General features: G+C 44.0%; 3 annotated features.

Annotated features, from left to right (window-relative positions):
* Positions 982–1,276: a silencer, noted in NCBI's record as "tiled region #2156; K562 Repressive non-DNase unmatched - State 20:ReprD". NCBI's record gives its function as "represses a minimal TATA promoter and a strong SV40 promoter by Sharpr-MPRA in K562 cells {active_cell/tissue: K562}" and the evidence as "EXISTENCE:reporter gene assay evidence [ECO:0000049][PMID:27701403]".
* Positions 982–1,400: a biological region, named in NCBI's record as "Sharpr-MPRA regulatory region 2156".
* Positions 1,181–1,400: an enhancer, noted in NCBI's record as "active region_4473". NCBI's record gives its function as "activates an Ori minimal core promoter by ATAC-STARR-seq in GM12878 lymphoblastoid cells {active_cell/tissue: GM12878}" and the evidence as "EXISTENCE:reporter gene assay evidence [ECO:0000049][PMID:35858748]".

The raw sequence follows: 16,813 nt of genomic DNA on the forward strand, positions 1-16,813 counted from the left end.
ACATTAAATAACAATTTTGTTTTAAAACCACTGTGGAGCTCCTGGGATAAAGCCTTAAGTATGTGTGTATTACTGACTTTGCAATACTGGTTTCCAAGAATTTATTTTAAGAATATAATCAGAGATAAGGCATGAAAATGTAAATTCTTGAATCCTTATTATAGCATTGTTGTAGTAGAAAAAAATGGAAACTACTTAAATGTCAAACAACAGAGTATTGGTTAAATAAATTATGATATATCCATAGAATGGGATGCTGCACAACCATTAAAAAATCATATTGTAGGCTGGGCACAGTAGCACATGCCTGTAATCCTAGCACTTTGAGAGGCCGAGGCGGGCAGATCACTTGAGGCTAGGAGTTCAAGACCAGCCTGGTCAACTTGGTGAAAACCCGTCTCTCCTAAAAATACAAAAATTAGCTGGGCTTCATGGCACGCACCTGTAATCCCAGCAACTCAGGAGGCTGAGGCAGGAGAGTCGCTTGAACCTGGGAGGCAGAGGTTGCAGTGAGCCGAGATCACACCAGTGCACTCCAGCCTGGGCGACAGAGCAAGGCTCCGTCTCAAACAAACAAACAAAAAAAATCGTATTGTAAAAGAATATTGGTTGGTACAGAAAATGTTCATGATTTACTGCTAAGCAAAATACAACAACAACAAAAAAAAACTTACAAAATAATAACTACAACGTGACACCCTTTCTTTTGTACAGAGAATAAAGCATGCTATCACAGGCATAAAATACTGAAGGGACAGATACTAACATGTTAACAACAGTTGCTCTTGGGTTGCGAGGCAGGGGTAGTTAGAAGAAATGTTTGTATTTTTCCTTTATACTATTTTGCTTTTTTCGTGTTTTCCTACCTTGAGTACCTTGTTTGCCTAATTAAAGAGGTGGGGAGAGGAGGAGATTTCCTCTCCCGCTTTTAATTTTTTTTTTTTTTTAAAGAAAATCACGCTGACTGTGTGCCTAGGAAACTATTGCCAGAATTTCCAACATCTCCCACAGCCCGGTGCTTGGGGAAACCAGAACTAAGTGAAAGACTTTCTCTCTGAGAGCAAAGTGCGCAGGTGACAGGAGAGAAGGGCAGAGGAAAGAAATGGGTTGGACCGATCCGAGAACGGGCAGGCTGGCGTGCCGACGGTCGCCAGCAGACAGCCCTCTCCCTAGCGGAGCGCTCGCCCCAGCCTCTGCCCAGAAGGCCCGGGGCGACGCGCTCGGATGCGTGGCTCCGGAAGGGCACTGAGCTAGAACATGCTGGGGCACCGCGCGGGCACCCAGGTGCCGCTGGCGCCGCTGACGAGGGGTGCTAGCAGGCTGTGCTCGAGGAGCTAGGAAGCTGTAAGCCTGTGAAAAGCCAAGCCAACCAGGCAGAGCGGCTCCGCAACAGCTAGCCCCGGCCGGGGCCTGCCCAGCGCTGCGTTGACCGCCGGAGCCCGCGTGCCGCTGCAGCGGAGCCATCATGAAGCGGCTCCCTGGCCAGGCCGTCCTGGCAGCCCGCCCGCCCCGCCCGCTGCGGAGCAGTGCCCGGGGAACGAAGGCAGGCGGGGATCATGTGCTGCGCGCTCAGGAGCCCTTGGCATTCCTCGCGGGGCGGCAGCTCTCCCCTCCATTTCCACCCAGGGGGGCTATCGGTCTTACTTTAAAAAGACAAAAACACAAATTACGGTGACGCAAAAGAAATATAAAAACAGGAGTCAGAGGACCTAGATTTGATTGTCAACCCATGTGACCATGAGCAGGTCACATTCATGCCTCTGCTTCCCTATCTGTGACATGGATATAATGATCCTATTTGTCCCAAGAGGTAGCCGTGAGTCTTATTAATGAAGATACAAATGATATAAGAGTAATGAAAACTGCTTTGCAAATTATGAAGGATAAGCTGATGCCAGTCCCTGTTCGCTAGATGTATACATTTCAGGACTTCGTAGTTCTTTAATTTTGAATGTTATTTGTGTGTATTGGTAAATCATCACTTTCCACTTTCCACAGTTTAAAATGGAAGACTATAGTGCAGTGATAGCTTAGAACTGGGAAGGAAATCAGGTCCAAAGCAAAGGAGAGCACACACCTGCCAATATAAAGATCAATAACATTTCTGACACTGGGTTTGGAGTTGAGTTCTGAGTTTCACAGCAGTCAAAGTGTAAAAGGAACCACGATCAGATGTTGTACTCATTATCAGAAAAGATTAGTACAGAGGAGAAGGTTAAGCAAGACAAGTGCCCTCAGGAAAAAATGGGATGTTCTCTAAATCCGCATTCCCCAAGTATCAGTCGTTTACATACCATCTTCATGTGTTTTGCTGTATTTATATGCCACATGTACATTTAGTTAACGAATATTTTTTCTTTAAAACAGTCTAACAAAAAATATTTCCTAATAAAAAATATATATTACTCCCTTAAGTGTTTGTTCTATATTTTCCCTGATATAATTTACTTTATTAAGAAATACATAACCATTAAATTTAAAATGTTCATTCTCTAACCACCTAATGTCATCTTATATGCCACGTGTATTAGTCCGTTTTCACACTGTTATAAAGAATACCGGAGACTGGGTAAGTTATAAAGAATAGAGGTTTCATTGACTCACCATTCCGAATGGCTGGGGAGGCCTCAGGAAATTTACAATCATGGCAGAAGAGGAAGGGGAAGCAAGGACCTTCTTCACATTTGTGACAGGAGGAGGCAGGGGGAAAGTGCCATACTTCAAAACCATCAGCTCTTATGAGAACTCACTCACTATCACAAGAACAGCATGGGGGAACAACCCCCATGATCCGATCACCTCCCACCAGTTCCCTCCCTCAACACGTGGGGCTTACAATTCTAAATGAGATTTGGGTGGGGACACAGATCCAAATAATATCACCACGTAAGATGTCCGAGTGCATAATGTGTGCAGGCTATGTATAGCACACTTTGGGAAACTCTCTTCTTCTTGTTTGATGAGCCCCTTACAGAGCCCATCATGGCATGTCCACACTGACAGAGATCCTAGATATCACCAGGGCCAATTCCCTTTGCAGACTCTACTAGCAGACAGAGGCCCAGCAAAAGGACCAGACTTGCCCAGGATAACCCATTATGGGAGGGACAGGCTGATGCCTCCTAACCTCCAGTCCTATGTCTTTGGCTCCCTTTACACACTACCTCTCCCTAGGTCCCTCCACTCCCCCTACCTCCCACCATCCTGTTGACCCCTCAGTCAGGGCTTGTGCCCATGAGAGCCTAATAATATGCCCCTGTCTGAGTCTAAGAGAAGGTAAGTTGATACAATTTGGGCGGCACCCCAGAACCACCTTGGATTCTCTCCTGGTCTCTTTCCTTAGATTATGAACTCCAGGAGGGGAAGAGCCATGATTAGGAGGTTGGTGTGAGATAGCAGGTGAAGAGGCAGAGTTATATAGAGCTCATCTTCCCAAGTAGGTACTGAATAGGCTTTGGACAAATTGCACAGGATAAAGAGAAGTAGCCAGAAGAATTGTAGAATTTCCAGGGCTCAGAACTACTATCAGGCCACAGCTTCTGGTGGGGCGGGTTGTACTCTGAAGGAAGACACCTGCAGAGGAGGCAACTCAGGATCTCCTACCTGAGGCTGAGGCAGCAGGCAGAGAGGAGGCTGTTTTAACTGGGCTCCCAGAGGAGCTGCCTTTCACAATTTGTTCACCTGAGGGGTACCTGCTTGTAATATGCTCTAAGGTGCCATATGAGCTAGCAGAGCCTACATGGATCCCAAAGAAAATTATGGCAGTCAAGGACTATGAGGTAATAATCTGAAACTCAAATGGGTCCTCTGGGGCCCAACAGGGATATGTCTTCCTCACCTAAAGGCCCCTGCAGAGCTGATGAGCAGTGCTGCCTTGGACCAGTGAGGATAACCTGCAGAGCTCATCAGAGCTAAGCACCAATAAGATTCAGGTTGGGAGGGTGGAGTACAGAGACCCCACAAAGTCTAGCAATAATGCTGCCAACACTCAAGGTAGACAGAAGAACAATCTTTTCAGCTCTGCTTAGCCTCTGCCAGGTGTTGCTATTGGGAAGGCTGTGGGCTGAAGGAACAAGCCCTGGATTAGGAGCCAGAAGGCTAGAGTTCTCACTCTGGCTCTGTGTGATGTTGGGCAAGTTTCTTTGCCACTCTGGGCTTCAGTTTCCTCATCTACACATTTTCCTAATTCTTGTTCTGCTGTAAAAATTAGGAAATTGGCCAAGTGCAGTGGCTCACACCTATGATCCCAGCTCTTTGGGAGGTGGAGGCGGGCGGATCACTTGAGGTCAGGAGTTCGAGACCAGCCTGGCTAACATGGTGAAACCCCGTGTCTACTAAAAATACACAAATTAGCTGGGCGTGGTGGTGTGCACCTGTAATCCCAGCTACTTGGGAGGCTGAGGCAGGAGAAACACTTGAACCCGGGAGGCAGAGGTTGCACTGAGCCAAGATCATGGCACTGCACTCCAGCCTCAGCAACAGAGTGAAACTCCATCTCAAAAAAAAAAAAAAGATTAGGAAATTTAGGTTCTGAAGTCAGACAGACTTGGTTTTTAGCCCAGTTCTTCCCAAAGGAACTCAGAGGTCAGCTAAGGACACAGATACATAAACAGGATTTACAAAAGAGACTGGCACAAAAGCAATGATCTTGCTTCTTGCTCAAGGCAGCACAGTGAGTGGCAGAGTGAGGACTAGAATACAGGGCCCAGACCTTGATGTAGAGACATAATAATCATATAAATGATTAATGAAGTGGCTAATCATAAATGTGACAGTTGCCACAAAGGAAAGGTAGAGGATGCTATGCGAACACACAACAGATCGTAACATGATGTATACGCTGTGGTAAAGATTCTGGATGTTCCCCAAAGAGTAATAGGAAATCATCTAAGCAAAATGGTGATAGTAAGAGGCTGCTGCAATGAAGACCAGATTGGAAGGATGCAAGAGTGGAGGCATGGAGGCCTGTTAGGTGACTCTTGCAATAATTCAGACAAGAGATGTTAATGACATGGGTTAGGGAAGTGGGGTGACTAGACCAATGAGGCATAAAACTATCAGGACTCAATGACTGATTCCATGTGAAAAGAGAAAGGGAGAAGGCCATGTTAAAGGCAACACTCACGTTACTGATAGAGACAGAAGACAGCCAAGGGTCCCCAGCAAAATCCCAGCTTCAAGCCTAAAAAAGCCTGAAGATTGAAAAACCAGACTGCTGGTCCCAGATGAAGCCCACCCTTTCCCAGCTGATTCTCTCTGAATAATGTCCACCTGCACACTGGGGGAAAGGGGTGGAGCCTCAGGAAGTTTGTGCCCTAGGCAGCGGAGGAGCCTGTTCTCTTCAGCTGAGTGGTGACCTGGGTGGGAATGAATCTGTGAAGTGGAGGGCCTGTTAGCATGACTCCATCTCACTTGCTGAGTTGTTTTTTTCTTTTTTTCCTTTTTGTTCAATAAAGTTCTGCTTTACTTGCCCTTCAATGCATCCACATGCCTAATTTTCTTGGTCCTGTGGCAAGAACCCAAGTTTAGCTGAACTAAGGAATAAAGTTCTACAACATTACTGGAATGAAAAATAGGGTGAATGATGGTGCCATTTACTGAGATCAGGGTACTAGGGGGGAGCACGTTTTAGGGTGATCTTTAGTTCAACTTTAGGGACATTGGGTTTTCTAGTTGTGGTGGTTGTGTTTTAATTTGGTTTGGTCTGAGAATGCCGAGTTTGCCTATGAAATTGAGAAAGTAGTTGGGTATGGAGGTCCCTTGATCAATGAGAGGATTGGGTTTTGGAATCAACCCACTGGCAACTGAAGGCACAGTGGACAGAGACAGGCAACCTGCCTATCCCTAAAGCATAGCGGAGAATAGATGGTACACAGGCTTTGGAATGGCACTCATTGGTTTTTTGTTCCCTTTTAACCAGCGGCCATGTGACCCTGGTCAATTTGCTTAATCAATCTGAGCATAAGACTCCTCATTTATAACATGGAAATAATGATTCCTACCTCACTGAATTATCATGAGAATTATACTATATTACAATTCACAATTCAAAAGACTCTCACCTACTTACTATATGTAAGGATATTTCAGACAAACACTGTATCTTATAAACTTGGTGTGAAATTGCTATGATCTGAATGTTTGTGTCCCCTTAAAATTTATATGCTGAAATCCTAACCCCAGAGGTAATGATGGTATTGGGAGGTGGGGCCTTTGGGAGATGATTAAGTCATGATGGCAAAGCCCTTATGAATGGGATTAGTGCCCTTATAAAAGAAACCCCAGAGGGATCCCTCTCCCCTTCCACATGTGAGGTTGCAGTGAGAGGGCAGCCAACTGTGAGGAAACTGGCCCTCACCAGAACCCAACCATGCTGGCACCCTGATCTTAGACTTCCCAGCCTCCAGAACTGTGAGCAATATAGTTCTGCTGTTTATAGCCACTCAGTCTATAGTATTTTATTATAGCAGCCTGAACAGACTAAGACAGAAGTCTAATATCAATATAATTTATCTGAACAAAATAAATCCAAAGCACTTATCATAGCAAAGAGACAGTATAGCATAGGTTTATGCAGACATTTTAGACATAGACAACCCTGGGTTCAAGCCTGGGCTTATCACTTCCTGGCCGCATGACTTTGGAAAATTATGTACTGAGTTTCCTTTTCTGAAAAATTGAGAGAATAATAGAATTCACCCCATGGGATGGTTAAATGGATTAAATAAAATATGTAAAGTACCTTGACTTAAAAGTTTCAAAAATGCTAGTTATTGTTATTGTACAAAATACAGCGTCAGGCACACAGTGAGCATTCATTACGTGTTTGTTGCCCTACCTCCTCCTCACCACTCCTCAAGCCTCCCCAGGTTCATCTGCACACATTTTTAGGTGCACAGGCCTTACTCTAGTTCATAAAGGAACTAGAGTAGAGCTCTCTAAATTCTAATTCCTCACAATGCTTTCAGCTCAGCCCTCTCCACAGCAATCTGTTCTCCCCCTTCATTCAACAAACCCAACAGATAATATAGGACATTGTATCATGTTGTTAGCAAGTACCAGCTCCTCTCCCTCGCTGGGAATGTAAGAGACAGAGGCTCTAGGCCACATGCTCACAGCATCAGCTGTGTTTCCATGACGACAAGCCCGGCACAACTAGATATTTCAGCAGAGAGGAGCTGTGACACCCAGCTCTCCGCAGAATGTAGCTGACTAGCTATTGTTATCTTCCTTGCACTGACCTAAGGACTAAAGCAGGCTGGATGTGGCTCTGAGGGGTGGGGAAGTTTGTGTTTGCAAGAGTAGGAGATTGAATTTGGGAATGCAGTTGGCTGTTCATTGTAGCAGTTAACTGTATTGGCTGTAATAAGTTAAGAGAAACCTAAAAACAAAACAAAAATTCCATTCTAAGTGTCATAACAAAGGAAGGTACTTATTGCTATGTGAACAATAGGAGGATTTGGACCTAATTCTTCCTAAGGGAGTCATAGAAGACTTCATCTTTACAAAATCTTTGGTATTTTCTCTATTTTAAAGAGAAATATCCTATAAATGTGTTAATTAGGGTACTTTCAGCTCCAAGTAACACGAAACCTAACTAAAGCAGCTTAAATAATTAGGACAGTGAATATCTCATGCTCCAGAAAATCTGGAGGTGAGCCATTCTGGGGCTTGCTAATTCAGTGGCTTAGGGATAGCAGCAGGACCCAAACATTTTCTATCTTTCTGCTCTTCTGTCCTTGTTATGTCTGCAGTGTCTTTCCTCATGATTAAGAGATGGTCAAAGCATTTCCAGGTGTTACAAGCAGACATTTCATCTCCAAAGAAGAAAGGCATCTGCTCCTGTGCATTGCTTTTTAGTAGTGAGGAAAACCTCTCCCAACTACCCACCTGCAGACTTTCTATCAGGTCCCACTGATCACAGTGAGGGCCCAGGGTAATGCCTTCATAGTGGATTCAGGATCAAGCATTTGTGTTTTCTTCTAAGGGAAATGGAGAGTCATTAGAGGATTTTCAACCAGGTGATAGAGTCAGACTTTTCTAGTGGTTGTTTGTCTGTTTTATAGAGACAATGTCTCACTAGGTTGCCCTGGCTGGTCTCAAACTCCTGGGTTCAAACAATTCTGTTCTTGGCCTCCCAAAGTTCTGGGATTTACAGGTGTGAGCCACCTTACCCAACTTAGATTTCTGTTTTTGATAGATCACTTAGAGAGTAATATGGAAGATGGACTAGAGGGAGGCAAAGATGAGAAGCAGGAAAACCTGTTAGCAAACTGTTGCAAAATCCATGTGAGAAATTATGAGACCTGAACCAAAGTAATGATGATGGGAATTTGGGGTAGGAATTAGAAAAGACAGAGCTAATCGGAGATGGTAAATTTTCATTGGCAGTAGATGCAGAGATTGTCTACAAGTCTTGCCACCAACTGAACTGAAGAACATCACAGGATCGAATTTGAAGGAGCTGATGATTAGCTCAATTGTGTAAATATTGAATTTGGAGACCATGGTGTTTCCAGGTGGTAGGACAAGATAAAGGCTGGAATCTTGGGAAAGGGATATGGAGCTGGGAGTTTTCTGCACGGCAGGGATTGGTTAAAGCCAAAGGAATGGATGAGGTCACCCAAAGCAAGAAGGGAAGAGTGCCAAGAAGAGAACCCTGGGTGCACAGCATTTAAGGAATGGGCTGTGGATGAGAATTCCGTGAAAAAGATGAACTCAGACGAATCAGAAAGATAGAAAGAGAACCAGGAGTGGGTGGTATTACAGAAGCTAAAGGACAAAGATTTCCAAAGAGTGTTAAATACCACAGAAGGGCAAGGGAGGCAGGGATTGACTTCAGCTTTAATGACTTTGATGAGAACCATTGAAGTGAGCAGTAAAGGCAGCAGATGTAGACAACTCTTTCTAGAAGTCTGACTGTGATGGGGAGTAGAGAGATGATATGATAACCGGGGCGGGTGAGGGAGAATTTTATAATGTAGAATGAAGCTTGGACATGTTTGCAGGCTGAAGGAAGGAGCCCAGGGCCTGGGAGATGTCATAGTCCTGCCTGACTTATAGACATAGGCCAGTTTTGAAGCAAAACCCCAGAAGTTGAGTTCTCTCCTCCCTGTGCGCTACTCCAGAGGATCCCTTGAGCTGGCTCCTCAACAGGGGGTCACCAGGTGTCCCTCAGCCTCTGCTGCTATGATGACACATTCACCCACATGCCCTTATTATTCTTAGAAAATATAAGGGAATCAATCCTAGTCTCCATTTAGTACTGGCTTTCTGGAAATTATGCAAAATACTGGCTGTCTCCCAGATCACTTATTAGTGCCTTGGGGTGGTAATTTCATGGAAATGACTTTGAGGCACAGTTAAGCTGTCTAGCAGACAGCCATTTACATTCCAGGGGTCTGTCTTCTATAACTTCCCTATCCCCTTTGGGGCTGGTCCCACTGTCCCCAGGCCAGGCTCTCAGGGAGCTGTACCCTCACCTTCTCTACTTCCTTCAGACTCAGAGCTTCCTTTGCCCAGCCAGTCACTCACTGTCCATCTCTTGGTGGCATAATTGTAACCAGAAGCAAATAGTAGAGTATGGACCTCGGTAAGATCAGGGATGTGTAACTCGAAGGAGATCCAGGAAAAGCTGTCAACACGGCACAGATACCAACATGCAGCCCTGGGACAGGCAGCCCTTACCCACAGAGCCCTGGTAGGACACATATTGAGATATATATATATATATATCTATATATATCTATATATAGATATATAGATATATATATATGTGTGTGTGTGTATTTTTTTTTTTGAGACAGGGTCTCACTTTGTCTCTCAGGATGGAGTGCAGTGGCATGATCTCAGCACACTGCAACCTCCACTTCCCAGGTTCAAGCAATTCTCCCACCTCAGCCTCTTGAGTAGCTGGGACTACAGGTGCTTGCCACCATGCCCAGCTAATTTTTGTATTTTTTTGTTAGGGACAGGGGTTCACGATGTTGGCCAGGCTGGTCTTGAACTCCTGACCTCAAGTGATCCACCTGCCTTAGTCTCCCAAAGTGCTGAGATTACAGGCGTGAACCACCGCGCCTGGCCGCGGTATATGTTTTCCCTTTTTTTCTTTTTTTGAGATGGAGTCTCACTCTGTCACCAAGGCTGGAGTACAGTAGCATGATCTCAGCTCACTGCAACCTCCACCTCCCAGGTTCAAGCGATTCTTCTGCCTCAGCCTCCCTAGTAGCTGGGATTACAGGTGTGTGCCACTGCACCTGGCTAATTTTTGTATTTTTAGTAGAGACAGGGTTTCACCATATTGGCCAGGCTGGTCTCAAACTTCTGACCTTGTGATCCACCCACCTCAGCCTCCCAAAGTGCTGGGATTATAGGCATGAGCCACCGTGCCTGGCTGCGATATATGTTTTCTAAGGGAAATCTTCTTTACAGAAACTGCCTGCCTCACCCCCAAAGTTTACTCCCAGAAGCCATGTTTCTGCTGCATCTTCCTATTCCTTATCCCCATCTTGGGCTATGAGGTCCAGGGTAGACATTCTGTGGCTTCAATCACTTAGCATAATGTTTTAAGATTCATTCATGTTGCAGTATGTATTCACACTTCATTTCTTTTGATTGACAAATAACATTCTTATGTGTGGATGTGCCACATCAGTTCATGGACATTTGGATTGTTTCAATATTTTGGCTTTTGTCAATAATGTTGCTATGAATATTTGTGTACAAGTTTTTTTGTGAATGTATGTTTTCATTTTTGGGGGGATGGAATTGCTAGGTTATATAAGTATGTATATTGTGTAATTGTTTAAAAATTGTGTAAATGTTAAAAATTAAACATGACATTTAATTGTTAACTGCCAGACTGTTTTCCAAAGCAGCAGCACCAGTTTACTTTCCCACCAGCAGTGTATGGGAGTTTCTCTACATCCTTGCCAACACTTATTGTTTGTCTTTTTCATTATAACCATCCTGGGGGGTATGAAGTGAAATCTCATTGTGGTTTTGATTTGCATTTTTCTAATGGCTAATGATGTTGAGCATTTGTTTGTGTGTTTACCGGCCATTTGTATAACTTCATTGGGGAAATGTCTATTTGTATCCTTAGCTCATTTTTAAATTAGATTGTCTTTTAATTACTGATTTCTAAGAGTTCTTTATATATTTTGGGTACAAGTCCCTTATCAGATACATGATTTGCAAAACTACTTCTCATTCTGTGGGTTGTCTTTTCATGTCCCTGATGATAGCCTTTGAAGCACAAAAGTTTTAAGTTTTGATAAAATCCAGTCTATTTTTTCTTTCACTCATGCTTTTTTTTTTTTTTTGACACAGGCTCTCACTTTGTCATCCAGGCTAGAGTGCAGTGGTATGATCTCAGCTCACTGCAACCTCCACCTCCTAGGTTCAACTAATTCCTGTGCCTCAGCCTCCTGAATAACTGGGACTACAGGCGTGCGACACCACGCCCAGCTAATTTTTGTATTTTTAGTAGAGATGGGGGTTTCACCATGTTGGCCAGACTGGTCTCGAACTCCTGGTCTCAAGTGATCTGCCTGCCTCTGCCTCCCAAAGTGCTGGGATTACAGGCGTAAGCCACTGCGCCCAGCCTCATACTTTTTTTGTATCCAAGTAGGCTTTGTCTAACCCAAAGTTGTTTTGTTTTTGTTTTTGTTTTTGTTTTGTTTTGTTTTGTTTGAGATGGAGTCTTGCTCTGTCACTCAGGCTGGAGTGCAGTGGTGTGATCTTGGCTCACTGCAAATTCCGCCTCCCAGGTTCAATCAATTATCCTGTCTCAGCCTCCCAAGTAGCTGGGATTACAGGTGCGTGCCATCACACCTGGCTAATTTTTGTATTTTTAGTAGAGACGGGGTTTCACCGTGTTAGCAGGCTGGTCTGGAACTCCTGGCCTCAAGTGATCCACCTGCCTCGGCCTCCCAAGGTGCTGAGATTACAGGGGTGAGCCACTGTGCCTCGCCCTAACCCAAAGTCTTGAAGCTTTACACCCGTGTTCTTTTCCAAGCGCTTTTTAGTTGCAACTCTTACACTTCACTGATGATCCACTTGGAGTTAAAACTTAAATTCAGTATAAATCTGACCCTCATCACATACACACCTACTCCTCATCCCAGGCTTAGGTTTCACCCTGATTGCTTAGAGCAGAAGTAGAGGAATAAAATGTAGCAGTAAGCCATCCCCTCTCCTTAATAGGGGGAAGTCTTCTGCCTCACAATTACGTTTCCTTTCAAATAAGAGAGCTCAATTATTGTGACACTCTCCATTAATTTACCCTGTCCACGAAAAGTAGAGTATTTACTTGATTCAAAAATGTGGGAGTAGGCTGGGCATGGTTGATTCAGTGCCTCCTTTTAAATTTATTTTCTAGCCCAGCACAGTGGCTTATACCTGTAATCCCAGCACTTTGGGAGGCTGAGGTGGGTAGACCACTTGAGGCCAGGAATTCGAGACCAGCCTGGCCAACATGGTGAAACCCCGTCTCTACTAAAAATACAAAAATTAGCCAGGCATGGTGGCGCGTGCCTGTAATCCCAGCTACTGGGGAGGCTGAGGCAGGAGAATTGCTTGAACCTGGAAGGTGGAGGCTACAGTGAGCAGAGTCTGTGCCACTGCACTCCAGACTGGGCAACAGAGTGAGACTCTGTCTCAAAAAATTATAATAATAGTAAATAAATTTCTTTTCTTTTGTGTTCTTAGGCTAGAGCCTGCCTGCAGGGAGAAGGAGTTCTCTTCTGCTCCTTAAGTCTCATCTGGGCAGGGCCCCATGTCTGGATGCTGCTGGGGACCATGCTACTTCCACTGGATGGTGAGTCTGCCTAATTCAGGGGTTCATTAGCTCGCTTATTTGGCTCCCCTCTAAACTATATGCGTCAATTTGGCCTTTATTACCAAAAAGGTGAGTTTTTGTCACCATCTATCTATCTGATTTTGTCACCATCTCTATCTGGTTTCTCAATTTGTTTAGAACACTCTGATTGGGCCACATCAGAGACTCTAACACCCTCTTTCCTGCCTTAAAGGAAAAGAACAATTCCTAGTTTCTCTAGTATATGGGGGTGGGGAAGAAGAAAAGGGCCATCTCCCTCAAATTTTCTTCTCTCTTGCTCAGTTAGACCCTGGAGATAGTTCAGTAATCTACTGCCTAAGCAGATGTCCACATGGGAAATAGAATTGCAGTCTCATCTTCTTGCAGGCAACTCTAATCCCTACAAATGCTTCCTTTGGGGCCCAGTGTGGTGGCTCACACCTGTTAATCCAGGTGGTTTGGGAGGCTGAGATGGGAGAATTACTTGAGGCCAGGAGTTCAACACCAGCCTGGTCCAACATAGTGAGAACCTGTCTCTACAAAATAAATAAATAAATAAATAAATAAATAAATAAATAAATAAATAAGTAATCAGCCAAGCATTGCGGCATATGCCTATAGTCCTAGCCACTTGAGAGACAGGTGGGAGAATTGCCAGAGCCCGGGAGTTTGAGGTTATTATGATCACACCACTGCGCTTCAGCCTGGACAACAGAGAGAGATCCTGTCTCTTAAAAAACAAAAAAATACGACTGGACGTGGTGGCTCACGCCTGTAATCCCAGCACTTTGGGAGGCCAAGGCGGGTGGATCATGAGGTCAGGAGTTTGAGACCAGCCTGACCAACATGGTGAAACCCTGTCTCTATTCAAAATACAAAAATTAGCTGGGCGTGGTGGCATGCACCTGTAACCCCAGCTACTCAGGAGGCTGAGGCAGGAGAATCACTTGAACCCAGGAGGCGGATGTTACAGTGAGCCAAGATCACACCACTGCACTCCAGCCTGGGTGACAGAGCGAGACTCCATCTCAAAAAATAAATAAATAAATAAATAATACTAGTAATAGCAATTCCTTTGGAGCCCCCTCCCTCCTTTCCCTATACAAGGCTTCAGTTAGAGAAGAAAACACCCGCTTACCATGAACAAACGCTGCAGTCTCCACAAGTCCAACTACCCTCAAGAAGTCGCCCCTGCCTTCCCTTTTCTATATCTTAATATAATTCAGAAGGTGGGGGGTGACAGTGGAGGGGTGGTGGTTGATGGCAGCAGAACCCATTGTACATCCTGTTTGTAAGCCCAGGGGAAGATTAAAGGGTAGAAGGGTTCTACACTTCAAGTGTAAGCTGTTCTCTTTAGAAGGTGAGATATTTTGTTTTTGTTTTTGTTTTTTTTGGCCATGGGCTTTAGTGTCAATTGTAGGGCAACAGGAAAAGAGCCACCAACATCCTGTTAAAAAGTAACGCCCCATGCTGGGCGCGGTGGCTCATGCCTGTAATCCTAGCACTTTGGGAGGCTGAGGTGGGTGGGTTGCTTGAATCCAGGAGTTCGAGACCAGCTTGGCCAACATGGCAAAACCTCATCTCTACTAAAAATACAAAAATTAGCCAGGCGTGGTAGTGCATGCCTGTAGTCCCAGCTACTCAGCGGGGTGAGGCAAGAGAATCGCTTGAGCCCAGGAGGTTAAGGCTGTAGTGAACCCTGATCATTCCACTGCACTCTAGCCTTGGTGACAAAGTGAGACCCTGTCTCAAAAAAAAAAAAAAAAAAAGGTTACCCCTGCTCTTGGCCAAAAATTTAAAAATATTATAAATATAGATGTAATACAGGAATTGCAAAGCCCCCATAACCCCACTTCCCTGGATAGAAGGGAACAGTGTTAGCAGTTGGATATATATTCCTCCAGACTTTTTTTTTCAATGCATGTATTAACTTTAAGAAAAGGATGAGCTTGGCTGGGTGCGGTGGCTCACGCCTGTAATTTCAGCATTTTGGGAGGCTGAGGCGGGCGGATCACGACGTCAGGAGATCAAGACCATCCTGGCTAACACGATGAAACCCCGTCTCTACTAAAAATACAAAAAATTATCTGGGTGTGGTGGCAGGCACCTGTAGTCCCAGCTACTCGGGAGGCTGAGGCAGGAGAATGGCGTGAACCTGGGAGGCAGAGCTTGCAGTGAGCTGAGATCGCACCACTGCACTCCAGCCTGGGTGGCAGAGTAAGACTCCGTCTCGGAAAAAAAAAAAAAAAAAAAAGGATGAGCTCATAATGTACATGCAATTGTGTAACTTCCTTTTTTCAATAAAAAATATCCTAGGCATCCATAAGATTTTTGTTATCAGAGAATGGAGATAAAAATATGGAAAGGAAGATAACGAGGATGAACCTTCTGGAGTTGGATTCCAAATTGAGTATTGGTGGAAACATTTTCTTCAATATATATGGATAGATTTGGAAATAAATATACATATATGCACTTGAATCTCTCAAGTCGCCTGCTTGGCCCTCTTCCAAGTGTGCTAAATAAAAAGAAATATACATATAAATATCTATATGTGAGAGTATATACACACAACACACACACTCCACATGGATATACATAGATATATTTCCTAGCTTTGCCCATTCTTAGAGTCCAGAAACAGTGATATCACAAACACAGTGAGCATACCTAGCACTCAGTTCTTGATTTTTAAAAACAATCCTTCAGCCGGGCGCTGTAATCCCAGCATTTTGGGAGGCTGAGGCATACGGATCACTTGAGCCCAGGAGTTCAAGAGCAGCCTGGGTAACATGGTGAAACCCTGTCTCTAAAAAAAAAAATATATATATATATATAAACACACACACAACATGTGTATATATATATATATATACGCAATATATAGTGTATATATATAAACTATATATTGTGTATATATATATATACACATATACACTATATATGTGTGTGTATATATAGTATATATAGTGTATATATAGTTGTATATATAGTGTATATATATGTGTGTATATATATATATAAGTATATATATGTGTGATATATATACACACACACATACATATACATACACACACACACACACACACACACACACACACAATTAGCTGGGCTTGGTGGCTCATGCCTATAGTCCCAGCTACCTGAGAGGCTGAGGTGGGAGAATCACTTGAGCCCGGGAGGCAGGCAGAGGTTGCAGTGAGCCAAGATCACACCACTGCACTCTGGCCTGGGTTGACAGAGCCAGACCCCATCTCGATAAATAAATAAATAAATAAAAATATAAATAAATAATAAAAACATCCTTCACTAAAAGGAACCAGGGCTCCTTAGAGAAATGGCTGATTCCAGGGCTCAATCACAGAAAGTGCAAGATGAGTCTGGTTTAACATCTTTTTGTGCCAGAATGTAAAGAAATGCCAAAAAGTTGATGGGGACATGTCAAAAGGACATAGAAGCCAGCTTGCAGAGATGTTCACTGGCCAAATCCAGAATGATTTGCATATCAAAATTAATAATGATAATAATGGATTATAATCCACTTGTGATGATTAATTTTATGTGTCAACTTGACTGGGTTACAGCATACCCAGATATTTGGTTAACATTATTCTGGGTGTGTCTATGAGAGTGTTTCTGGATAAGATTAACATTTGAATTGGTAGGCTGAGTAAAACAGATTGCCTTTCCCCAGTGTGGGTGGACCTCATTCAATCTGTTGAAGACCTGAACAGAACAAAAAGCTTAGTAAGGGAGAATTCACTCTCTGGCCCTCTTCCAGTTGGGACATCAGTCTCTCCTGCCTTCAGACTCAGACTCAGGCTAGAACTTACACCTCCAGCTTTCCTAGATTTTCAGCTTGCCAACTGCATATCTTGGGACTTCTCAGCCTCCAAAACTATGTGAGAAAAATTTTTATAATAAGTCATATATGGGCCAGGTGCAGTGGCTCATGCCTGTAATCCCAGCACTTTGGGAGGCCAAGGCGGGCAG

The sequence above is a fragment of the Homo sapiens genome, chromosome 11, assembly GCF_000001405.40.
Source record: "Homo sapiens chromosome 11, GRCh38.p14 Primary Assembly".
NCBI classification, from domain to species: Eukaryota; Metazoa; Chordata; class Mammalia; order Primates; family Hominidae; genus Homo; species Homo sapiens.